This window comes from Homo sapiens, chromosome 7, assembly GCF_000001405.40.
Source record: "Homo sapiens chromosome 7, GRCh38.p14 Primary Assembly".
Lineage (NCBI taxonomy): Eukaryota > Metazoa > Chordata > Mammalia > Primates > Hominidae > Homo > Homo sapiens.
This window is the reverse complement of record NC_000007.14, coordinates 70,416,006-70,428,301: the sequence shown is the minus strand read 5'-3', so window position 1 is coordinate 70,428,301 and position 12,296 is coordinate 70,416,006. Positions and strand designations below refer to the sequence as shown.

The window sequence follows — 12,296 nt, the reverse complement described above, 5'->3', positions numbered from 1 at the left end:
GCAGCTCTGATGTTGTCTGTTTTTCATCAATCCACAAAGCCCTAATTTCACACTGTTTACATTGCTCTCATATTGGTTTTGGACTAAGTGAAATTTAAAGCTACTGGGGCCCTAGAAATTTTTAAATTTTTAAACCTGAAAATGTTCTTACTGAGACCATATTCTTACTGACTGTGAAATAATGTCGTCGACTCTTCCCCTCTATCTTAACAGTAACTACGCCTGATCAAATAAAATAGCTCAGATAAAATGAAAGCCTAATTAAAATATTCATGTTCCAAACAACAGTTTACAAGAATAAAGCTTTTGGTAATCACTAATGAGCCCATTTGAAAATAATATGAGGTCCACCAATCTTCAATTGTTCAGGAGATACAAGAGAATCAACTCTCAGAAGCCTCTGGAATTCGGTACTGATAACCTAGCATTTCTGAATGGGGAGTTCTCAGAATCTGACATTTTTGCAAGTTCTCAGTTTGAACTGGCCAGAGCTCAAATAACCAATGTGATCTGAGGGGGCTAAGGGAACACTTCTTATTCCCCCTCCAGTGTCTCAGATAATAACACACTCATTCAACCAACAATGTTCAGGTAACTACTATGTGCTAGGTTCATTCTACCACCCATTAGAAGTGCAAATATATTGACAGAAATCAGGTTGTCCAAACTTGAAGTTTTAAAGCTCATAAATTAAATTCTAATATTTTTTTTCCTTTTTGTCACTTTGAAATCCAAGTGTATTTCATAAAACAATCTGTATGTTGTAAATTTCCACAGATCATTAAAGTATTGTTGAGTTATTGGAAGTGGGGTTGGAAGTGAATATTTCACAAATCTTTGGGGAGTTCAGCTTGTTTTCCTCTAAGAAAGGAAGTCACATTTTGCCAAGTATAAATATACATAAACCCCAAAGATGAAATTTACTTAAAACCCAGAGTCCACAAACCTCAGTGGTTGCCAAACTCAGAAAAATAAGTATCTTGTCCAAAGGTAAAACTGACAGTCTGGGGCCCGGTGATTTGTAAATGATCTCTTTTAAGCTTAAGGAACAGATCCTTTGCTTCTCTGTCATTGATTTACTGATTCTAAGTCATCAATAGCATTAATCCGTACTTGCCTGGGGACCTATTACAAATGACTTTGAAGATGGTGTGAAGCAAGAGTTTATTATGAGACCACAGTGTTACTATCAGGAAGACATCTTTGCCTGTGTGCTTTGGCAGAATTCTATTTGTGACCCCTCTGTAATGGGGCGATTTTCCCTTCCCATATATAGTTTCTTGGTGCTTTGGGTGGGGTCTGAGCCCCCACCCCCAGGTTTGCTTCAACTGATGCTGGGTTCTTTTTGGAGTCCTGTGTAAGCTAATAAAACCCAAATTTGCTGATGAGTAAAAAGGAAAAGTATGTTATGGGTTAAAATAATACAAGAGTCTATTTTTTCCGCTGTGTTGTGATCCATAGAAATCACCCTGAGCCTTTTCCCTTTCTTCTCTGCCTGGGAAGCCAATTGCTTTGATTGCAGTGATATGAGCTAGCTAAAATGACTTGCCCTTGCTTGTGAGGCAAATGGAACATGCTAATAGAACTTATCGCATTACCCGATGCAAAAGTGCCATAGCTCATTACTTTAAGATAAAAGGATATCATTGCAGACGGCAAGCAGAATTGACTTTCTGAGGCCCGACTTGATGATGATTTAATCAACTGCTCTCTTTCACTTCTCATCTCTGTGCCTGTCGGTTTCACAGGTGCCGTTAAATGAGACACTCAGAAAGTGAGCGGAGGGAAAGAAATTGCTGTCATTACTTTTCAAGAAAGGAGGTATGCAAATTTTCAACAGAAAGATTGCGTTCATAATGGGCCTGGTAAAATACAAGGATCATGCTTGACAGGTGAGGGCAAGCCATTTGTATGTCCTTAAAGTGGAGCAACCGTCCTCGTTTAGAAATGTGCTCAGTAAGAGAAACTACAAATGAGAGGCCTGGTGCAGCCAGGGGAGAGGCGGGGTGGAATCACAGAGGGTTGGTTCAAGCTGGTCTATGTTCTAGAAAAGAGAAGGGTGCTTAAGACTCAGGAAGCCAAAGCCAGAGGAACAGATAACAAAGCCTGGTAGCTTTCAGTGTGAACCAAGATGCCAACAGCTCTTGAAAAGACCACATCGTTATCCTTCATATATAACTATGGAGCCAGACTGCCTGGGTGCAAAGCCTGCCTGTACTGTACACCATCTGTGAAACCTCTAGCAAGGAACTTAACCTCTCTGTGCTTCAGTTTCCTCATCTATTAAATGGGGCTATTGACAGTATGTACCTCATAGTGTTGCTAAGAACGTTAATTGAGTTAATAAACATATAATTTGTATAAGTACATATGTAATAAACATAAAAATGTCTAGAACACTGCCTGATACATAGGAAGCAATCAATAGATGTTAGAAACCATCCATCCATCCATCTATTCATCTTCAGTAAGACTGAATATCTTTTTTTAAAAAGCATACATGAGCCAGGTGTTGGAAATCTCCCTGGCTCTAGTCTAGATAGAATAGAATTCTTCACTGATTTCACATACGTCTTGCATAAATTCTTTGCTAATTTAACATATACAAGTCTTGCTCCCCAGGCAGGCAGTGAACTCCTCAGAAAGTGCAGGCTGGTTGTCCCTGGAATCATCACAGGGTCTAGTGTATTCTTGAGGACCCTCAAAGATGCTCAACAACAATTTGATGATTTATGGATTCCTCCTCCCTCCCTCCTTCCACTCATTCCACATTATCTGATGCTGCCTGTGTGCTATAGCCCTTTGAGGAATCTCCTCTTGGAGTAGAAAATGTCTGAGTTTAGCTGGGAATCTCAGGTGATCACCATGTGCCCTGTGTATCCTGGGGAAGGAAAGGCACAGCCAGCAGGAACAGCCAGTCTGGCTTGAATCACCTTCAGGAAGGCAGAATGAATATGAATAGATTACATGATCAGGGTAGCATGAACAGAGGTGTTTTTTCATCCACTTTGTCTTCAATAGGTAATTGCTCTATTTTCTCCAACACTCAAAGTAAAAGCATCTTTCTTAAAGTGCTTGGAATTCCAAGTTCTTTTTCCCCAGGTAATGAAGCTGCTGCAACCATTCTTCCTTCCACCACTAAGGTTGTGAGACACTGAATGTAGCTACGGCTTTCCATGCTAAGTATCACCAACATGATTCAATTCCCAGCCAAAGGGTCAATGTCCATCTCAAGCTAAAGGAGAGATGGGGTGTCCATGATGGCAGGGCAGCCCTGAGCTCTCTATTTTGGAAAAGCCTGGTTGTTGAAGTGCATTTCACATCTTGCAGGGTTCCTCCACAGGAACAACGGCAGAGCATGTTTTCCTCTAGAAATGCCAGCTGTTGGCTGGCATTCATCAAAAAAGAATCCTGAGGCCAGGTGCAATGCCTCATGCCTTTAATCCCAGAACTTTGGAAGACTGAGGCGGGATGATCTCTTGAGCCCAGAAGTTCAAGACCAGCCTGGGCAACATAGCGAGACCCCTGTCCCTGCAAAAAATTTTAAAATTAGCAGGTATGGTCATGCATGCCTGTGGTCCCAGCTACCTGGGAGGCTGATGTGAGAGGATTGCTTGAGCCCGGAAGGTCAAGGCTGCAGTTAGCTCTGATCATGTCATTGTGCTCTAGCCTGGGTGACAGAGAGAGACCCTGTCCAAAACAAACAAACAAAGAAACAAACAAACAAACAAAAAACACCAAGAATCCTGACAACAGCTCTAGAAGAAAGTATTATACTACCACCCTTCCATTTTAGAGATGAGAAGGTAAGTAAGGCTTCCAGTGACAGAGATGGCACTTGAACCCAGTTATGTCCTTCAAAGTTCATGTTCTTAGCCAGTATAACGTACCATCTCACTCTCTCTCTCAGGCTATACAAAGAAACTACTTCAAAATATTTTCCTGATTGATTGCTTGGCAAAGTACAGAGGCAAGCTGAAACCGAAAAGAGATTGCAGCGCCTACAAGCAGCAGTGAATGCAGCCATATAGCCGTATTTCTGCTCCACAGAAGACAGCTCTCCCTTAAGAGGGACTGAGCACAGTCCCTGGCTCACAGGAAGTGCTCATTCAGTCTGAGGCTGACGTAGGTTCAAATTCTGACCCCCTCCACTTAATAATCATGCTGTGTTTGGAAAGGAACTTAATTCTTGGAGTCTACCTTTCTTAACCAGTGAATGGCGATGATACACACCCCACCGGATTTTTGTGAGAATTAAATCAGTTCAGGTATGTGAAAGCAGCCAGAAAGACATACCAATAGTTTCATTTTTCCAGTTATTTCCATGAAAGATATGTTATATCACACACAACAACAGGGTAACTTACTAATTATTTAAATGTTGGGTTGAATTTTTGTACCGTTTTATTGCCAGAGGGGAAGTCACATTCTGCAAGGATTTCTGCTCAGGACGTGTTTAAAGACTCAATACTATGCTACACGAAAACAGAAACAACCACCCAGACAAACAAAACCAGAAACCATCATTCCCTCTCAACGAAGTGAGCAACAAGAAGAATCTTCCAGGTAACTAATAGTTTTATTTCACTGATAAAAAACCAAAAAGGAAAGACACCTTAGAGCTGAAATTTTGAAGTGTTTCTTTAGGTTCTTGATGAACATTTTTTTTTGGGATGGAAGTAGCTTGGACTTATTCTTCAAATAGTCAGTAACCTGCACACAGGGACTAAAGTAAAATGCATAGGTACAAGATTTGGAGTTTAAATTTGTAAGTTATGCTATGCATAGTGCATATGGGCTTTGACATTATTAAAATGTTCAAAGTTAAGTTGGAAAAATAAATACACAGATAAATAGAATGGATATTAAAAACACTAGGTGATTACTGGTACAAGTAGGAAGCTACATATTTTAAACTTTGTCTAGCGATTCTGACCAGTCAGAATTAGGAGATAGTTTTGATAGCCCTACTCACAGATTATTTATATTCAAGATTGATTTAAGGACTGATTTACCAAAATCAACCAGGAGAGTAATCTTGACAGAGATAAAAATTCCCAGAGGTAACTGCAAAAATGGGGATTTGCTGAGAGAATATAACTAAAGTACCTGGCACTTAGTAGGCACTCAAGGATCCAACAGACCACCACCCTTTCAGGACACATGGAAATGACTGTTCCTTCTTCCATATGGAAGCTTTCCAGGGCTCTGACTTCACTGGCTGTACCTTAACTGTTGGTTTCTAGCACCTCCAACACTGTTGGCTAGTTTCCTTGACAGTATCTCAGAGTTTGCTCATATCTTGCTCCACTTGAAGCTGGTACCTAGAAGGTGCTCAATACATATATGTGAAAGAATTAATAAATTACAGTAGCAAAATACCTGAGGGAAGGTAGCATGGAGAGTGTCTGAGTGAAGAGATCAAGAGAGAGACAGTGGTTGGCGGCATGAACACTAAAAGATCTGAAAGTGTGGTAGGTGTCTGAATGTGTCTATGAAAAAGATGGGTATAATTTTTTTTTTCTTGAGACAGAGTCTCACTCTGTTGCCCAGGCTGGAGCACAGTGGCGCGATCTTGGCTCACTGCAACTTCCGCCTCCTGGGTTCAAGCGATTCACCTGCCTCAGCTTCCCATAAGTGGGACTATAGGTATGCGCCACCATGCCTGGCTAATGTTTTGTGTTTTTAGTACAGACAGGGTTTCACCAGGTTGGCCAGGCTGGTCTCAAACGCCTGACCTCAGGTGATCCACCCACCTCAGCCTCCCAAAGTGCTGGGATTACAGGCATGAGCCACTATGCCTGGCTGACATGGATATAATTTTGAGGTGACAGTAAATCCTAAGAAAATAACAGCATGCACTTGAAGAAATCACATCTTAAGGTTACTCTTTTATGAAAATCAGGAAACTCAAAATAAAAAAACTGTATTTCTTTTCACATTTGATTCACTTCAAGCCAACTAGAGCAACTGGAATTGAGCAGGAAGAGGGACAATGGTGCTCTCATATTGCTAAGACATAATGGCCACATTATCAACTTCTCACCAACCAGATTTCTTTTTTTGTTTTTTTACAAATGCAAGATAGTGAGAAACTTGGCTAAAGGAATATAAATATGGCTTGAGATAATGAGAATGGTTCAAGAAGATCCAAAGACATCTTAGGCTACCGTCACATAGGATCCTAAAGTGATTCCTTTTTTTTCTTCCCTTTATTGGGTATCTGCCTTCACTTTTGCCCTTTGTAGAATTCCTCATACTCATAACAGATTTTCAATTAAACTGTACCCAACAAAAACAGTCTTTATTTTAGGATGGCTTTAAAACCTAGTCTTCTATATCATAAACAAGGAAGGGTAGGATTACTATAAATTGTCTGCAAGAAAATACAAATTGCCAAGATAAAAACACCCACTGGTTTGCCAGTCTCAAGTTTCCTGTTTTGACATACTATATGCAGTAATTTGGTATCCACAATCTCTTATTAGAAAATGAATGTGCTATTTTTCTGAATGCTGCAATTACAATAATTGAATTTAAAATGGGGATTGAGTTTCTCTATTTGGAGGAAAAGAATAATTGTGTATTTCTGATTAAAATCAAGGGGACTGAAAGAGGTTGTACAAATTCCAGCTTCAGTCTCCCCGAGTGACTCCTCATCAGGGCAGAAAAGCAGTTAGCCAGAGAAAAGACAAATTCAAATGCGGGTGGAGAAATGGACCAGCACTTCAGCAGCAGGCACTGTCTCTGGCCTCATTTGCTTTGTCTCCTGGCCTTCAGTCACAACACCCCTGTGACAGAGGCAATCAGAGCTGCATGGCATTGTTACATTTTAAATGGCAGCCATGCTGGAGTTCCCTACTGTGTCAAAAATTAAGAGTTAAAATGCAAGGAAAACAAACATCTCTTTGTGTTGAAAATGCCTGTCCACTTTTAGACTGCCAACATTTTGGAGTAGTTTTTACTCTGCACTGTAGAATCTCTTTTCTGGGTGGGGGAAATGTAATAGCAGAAGGGTTGGGGGGGATGAGAGAAAAGAATTAATATTTTCTAAATACCTTTTTTTGTTTTACTAAAAAATTATGTTAAAAGGCACCTTTAAGGTTCAGATGTAGGAAAGAAAAAGGAATGAAGAAAGAGGGCTATCCTACCTTCTTATGCCTTTTTCTTTTTTAATTTCCGGTGGCATCTTTCAGTCTTCTAAAACCCCTATTTAGCTAAAGGTGAAGGTGAAATGTAGTCTCACAATTCCCCCTGAATGTTTGTCAAAATATAGCTTTCTAAGAAAAGAGAAAATTTTTCTAGCACAGAGTGAGCCATGGATTGTCTCTTTATGGGATACTGTTCACTATTTTTTTGTGGCTTTATTGAGATATAACTGACATTGGTAAAAGGCACGTATTTGAAATGCACAATTTGATAGCTTTTCATATATGTGTACACACCTGTGAAGCCATCACCACGATCAAGACAGTGAACCTGTCCATCCCTCCCCAAAGCTTCTATCCCTCTCTCAGGTCCCTTACCGTATCACTGATGTGCCTTCTGTCACTACAGATTAGTAGGTATTTTTAAAAATTTTACATAAATGGAACCATACAGTATGTACTCTTTTTGTCTGATTTCTATCAGTCACTGCTTACTATTTTGACAACCAATTAAAAAGGAGCCTCCTAGCTCCAAGGCAAAAGGCAACCTTCAGAGGCTGCCTCGGCCAGAGTTTATTGTCATCCCCCAGGAACAGAACCGATTACTTGGTCTTACTTTATTCTTAGGCTTTATTATGTACTTCAGTAATCAATAAGCACTTCTATGGCAGAGGGTTTATTTTACCCTATAAATCTAAGGAGAGAATGATATTAAGACATCAGTATGGATGGCCTCTGCTGCTCTGTAACACTATGAGGAGAACACAAGCAACAGATTTAAATCTAAGAAGGTTACAGAGCAGTCACAGCTCCTGGCTGGATGGCAGGGATCATAAAAGACTCAAGCAAGACCTACAGCAACTTCACTGTAAACCAATGGGACTTTCAGAGCAAAAAACCCAAACTGAACAGGCATGCTCGTTGTCTGCCCTGAAAGAATTATAAGCGCTGGCTTGAGTAGAATGTGAAGAGTCCCACTAAAAAATCCAAAATATTTCTTAACAGAACAAATACAAAGGTAGAGAACAAATACTGATTTCAAGCTGACTGTGTAGAAAGCCTCGCTCTGGTGTAGAAAGCCGCTCACTTAGTAGCCGCCTCATAGCCCCAGGAGACCTTTAATTCTCTCCCCTGCAACTCCTCACCCCAGGGCTCTGAGATAATTATCACTGGAGCATCTTTTCTCTAGCTAGCCCTTGGAGACTCATCCTTCCTTTCAAAAGCAAAGAGGTCAATTCACGGAAGAGGAAATATAAATGGCTAATAAACATACGAAAAAAATGTTCCACCTCACTAGTAATCAAAGAAATGCAGATTAAAAAGAGATATATTTCTCTTCATCAATCAAATTAGAAAAAAACATGTAAATGCTGATATGCAGTGTTGGCAAGGCTGTCGTGAGGCAGACACTCATATACTTCTGGAGGAATGTCAATTTCTATTTGGAAAATAATTTTGCAATTTGCATCAGAAGAAGAGAAGCATGCATCAAGAGCCTTCATATTTTCCATACTGTCTAGCTCAACTAGTCTCAAAAAGGAACAAAAATGTCTATAATAATTTGTTTAAAAATTTCATTATGGAATTAGGAAATGACCCAATAATACATTATTTATATGGCTACTGTCAGCACATAGCAAGGGCCACGAAATCTGCTAAGATAGACTCTTCATATATTCACGTTTTTAACCTTACAGCAAACTCCCCCCACCCCCCAGCCCCCAGTGTGTAGGTTTTAGTTTTCCAATTTTACAGTGAAAGAAGGAGTCTTAAAGACATGAAGCAACTTGTCAAGAGTCATAAATCTATAAGAGGAAGATCCAGGCATTTGAATCCTGGTGTTTCTAACTCTCTGCACTAACCTAGTACACAGACTTCATAAACCTAAATGTTACCAAATTGGGGAACAGGTCAAGGTGCCAGGGTTGTGTTCACTCATTAAATTAAAGTTCATAAAGAATTTTGCTGAAATGGAAAAGTGATCACAGTCATAGGGAAGTTTAAAAAAAATCATATTAGGTTGGTGCAAAAGTAATGGCAAAAACTGGAATTACTTTTCACCAACCTAACTGAAGTGACCTTGGGTGAGTCACATACCCTCCCACAGGTTCAATTTCTTTTTTTAATCAATAAAACGGGGGTGATAGTAACTACCTCTCAAGGTAGCAGTAAGGAGAAAATACATTAAAAACTGCTACTTTTATTATTACTACTACAATGAAGGAAACAAGATACATAGAGTTATATATACAATATTACTTTAAAATTGCTAAGCATACACACAGAAAGAAAAAAAAAACACTGGAAAAAAATGCACCAAACACTGTTTATTTCTGAGTGATAAAGAGTTTGGGTCACTTTTATTTTCATCTTTACATTTACTGTCGTTTTTGATCTTTAACGATTACATATTATTTTTCGGTTAGAGGAGAAAAAGATACACATGCACAACGGCATGTAAACGTCACCCGTGTGATGGAGTTCTGGAGGTTCCCATGGCTGCTGATCTTCAGAGGCCATTAGATGGCAAAGAATAATCCCATTGTTTTCAGATCGGATTTCTCTGCTCAGAGGCTTCCACTGGTGAAGCATCTCTGTGGTGCAGCATGTCTCAGCTATGACTTTTTTGTCCCACTCACAAGTTAGAAAGATACGTATTTGGATTTGGGTTCTGCCACTTAACAGCAGAAGCTGGGAAAGTGGCTGCACCTTACTGTGACTTTGCTTCCTCATCCGTAAAATGGGAATAATAATATGGAGCCCCTAGGTTTGTGTGGGTATGAAGTGAGAAAATTAATGCATTTAAGAGATTTAACATAGTTCTCAGCCATGGTAAATGCCCAATACATGCTTAGCATCGTCACTGTTATTATTTAGGCTTGTCTAGCTTTGGTGTTCTATGACAGTCAGCCACCAGGCCATGCATAGTGGCTCATGCCTGTAATCCCAGCACTTTGAGAGGCCGAGGTGGGAGGATCCCTTAAGCCCTGGAGTTCAAGATCAGCTGGGGCAACATGGTAAGACCCCGTCTACACACACAGACACACACACACACACACACACACACACACACACACAGAAAGTTAGCCACCAAGCCTGGGTGACAGATCCCAAAGATCACAAGTGCCCCCTGTGATTATCCTGTGCACCCCAATCCCAGGGAGGTCCAAATGATCCTTAGCCTCCAAGGAGCTTGCCTCCTTTTCAGGTGGTGCCTTGGAAGGAGAGGGCAGGCCAAACAACAGTGGTGAGGGCCCAGTGTTTCTGCCAGGAGGTGAGAGAACAGGAGCATAGGCAAACGGTCTTCTGGACTTTGCAGCTTGTCTGACATGCCCTTCAGGATAGGAGAAAAGCAGATGGTCATGATGAGAGGCCCCAGGCTCAAAGGCTTCTATGGGATGAATGGAATAGAAGAGGAAACCTCCAACCTGCCATACCATCTCAGGCTGAAAAGCTCATCCTTCCCAGTTCAGATAATGCACACAGAAGGCAGCTCACGCCTGTCTCCCATTTGGAGAAACAGCTATTTCCAAAGCTTCTGAACCACACTCCACTGTGCCTTGGAAAAGGAACATGTAAGTAACGGTTTGCAAGCTGCCAAGAGCGTGGGTTTCACAGCGCACATTGCAAAGCTCTCGCCTGTCACTGCAAGACGACAAGTGTGCTCTCCAAGTCTCTCTCTCCCCTTCTAGATCTTAAAGGGTTACGCCTGGAAATTGCCTCGCTGTGCTTCTGGGACAGTATGAAGGATGACTGCCATTGCCACGGTCAGCTATGACAGCGCCAATTTGATGTGCTGCCATCAAGGGCCTTCTAAGAGCTGAGCGCCCTGATGGTTTTGTGATGCGAATAGTCACATTGCAAAATGGTTTTCCTCTCCCGCTGCCTCTGCCTCCATCTGCTGCTGGGCTAAAGGCACAGCCGGCTGCCTGCCTGTCACAGCATGTATTAAAATTAGCTGGGGAGGAGGCACTCAGTTGTGCTAATTACATTTTAATCATTGGAAATGTGTTGGCAAATCAAGCCTTGATTGCCATCTCGGAGTCTGTCTCCTCCAGCAGAGTGGAGGGGCTGTCTGCATTCGGCAGGGCCTGCTGGGCTTTCTCCTTTCACAGAAGATAGACTGGGGGCCCTGCTGGCCCACCACTGAGACCGCTTTGGCACATTATTAAAAAGCCACAAGGCTTGTTTCAAATCATCCCTGTGTGAGACCCGCTCATTCTCACTTCCCTGGGCATTCCAGCAACTTGGTACTTTTAACTAGAGCTTTAGTGGGCTGCTGTACCTTGCAGGCTCAGAGTGTGTGTGTCAGAGGAGGGGAGCAGGGGTGCAGGAGGCTGCAATCATGTCTTCCCAGCACCTGGGAATCAAGACAGGGCCTGCTGACATAAGGCAGTGTCCCTTGGGAGTGGACCGTGACCGCAGCAGGCGCTGCGTCGGCAGGGCTGTGGTAGCAGCTGGGATGAGGTTGTAGGCGAGAGAACATATTTTGTGGGCCGCTGTGGGTTGCCGGACAGGTTCATAGGGCTGAAGATCATTGCTTCTTCCCGGAGTTAGGGAACTGAATTAAGCTCTGTGTTCCAAGAGGCAGGAAAATCCAAGGACAGCCTCTTTTCAAGCAGGCAATGCCTGCTACTGTGGCCAGGTGCCACAAGCCAAGAGGAGAGAGAGAGCATTGAGCTTGGGCAAGGCCCATTCAAAAGAGCCCACCGAAAGCAAGCTGCCTGTTCTCACCAAAATAGGCTGAGTGTGCAGTCATTCACATTAGGGGTGCTCACTAGTGGGGGACTTCCTGTTTCCTGGGGGCCTGTTACACACTGGACAAAGAGAGTCCAGATAATATAAAATATGAAACAAATTTATTTCCAAAGTGTGATGGGTTGTTGTAGTTATGCTATTGAAGGCATAGACTATTGAAGGTTTAATTATATGTCATCAGGCTGGAAAATGACAAATTGCACATATCTTCCTTTGTAAAAACTTGCTCCTGTACCAAAAATTATAGATTGTATTACAGCATCTAAGAGAAAATCTGAGTGAGAAAAAAACACACCTGCATGCCAGCACAAACTAAAACCTTACAATAACATATGAAGGAGCCAGCCAGGGACAAAAGATCCACAGAGCCACTGTTACCACAGAACCACT

At 41.7% G+C, this 12,296-nt stretch overlaps 1 protein-coding gene across 25 annotated transcripts in view, besides 2 other annotated features; it reads right to left on the bottom strand.

Moving 5' to 3' along the window:
* The window catches only part of AUTS2 (activator of transcription and developmental regulator AUTS2), a 1,195,032-nt gene that overhangs the window by 365,205 nt on the left and 817,531 nt on the right, over nt 1-12,296 (bottom strand). The window lies entirely within an intron of this gene.
* Nucleotides 10,860-11,463: an enhancer, noted in NCBI's record as "H3K4me1 hESC enhancer chr7:69881825-69882428 (GRCh37/hg19 assembly coordinates)". NCBI's record gives its function as "activates a minimal SCP1, AML or CMV promoter by ChIP-STARR-seq in naive H9 embryonic stem cells {active_cell/tissue: H9 hESC(naive)}" and the evidence as "EXISTENCE:reporter gene assay evidence [ECO:0000049][PMID:30033119]".
* Nucleotides 11,464-12,069: an enhancer, noted in NCBI's record as "H3K4me1 hESC enhancer chr7:69881219-69881824 (GRCh37/hg19 assembly coordinates)". NCBI's record gives its function as "activates a minimal SCP1, AML or CMV promoter by ChIP-STARR-seq in naive H9 embryonic stem cells {active_cell/tissue: H9 hESC(naive)}" and the evidence as "EXISTENCE:reporter gene assay evidence [ECO:0000049][PMID:30033119]".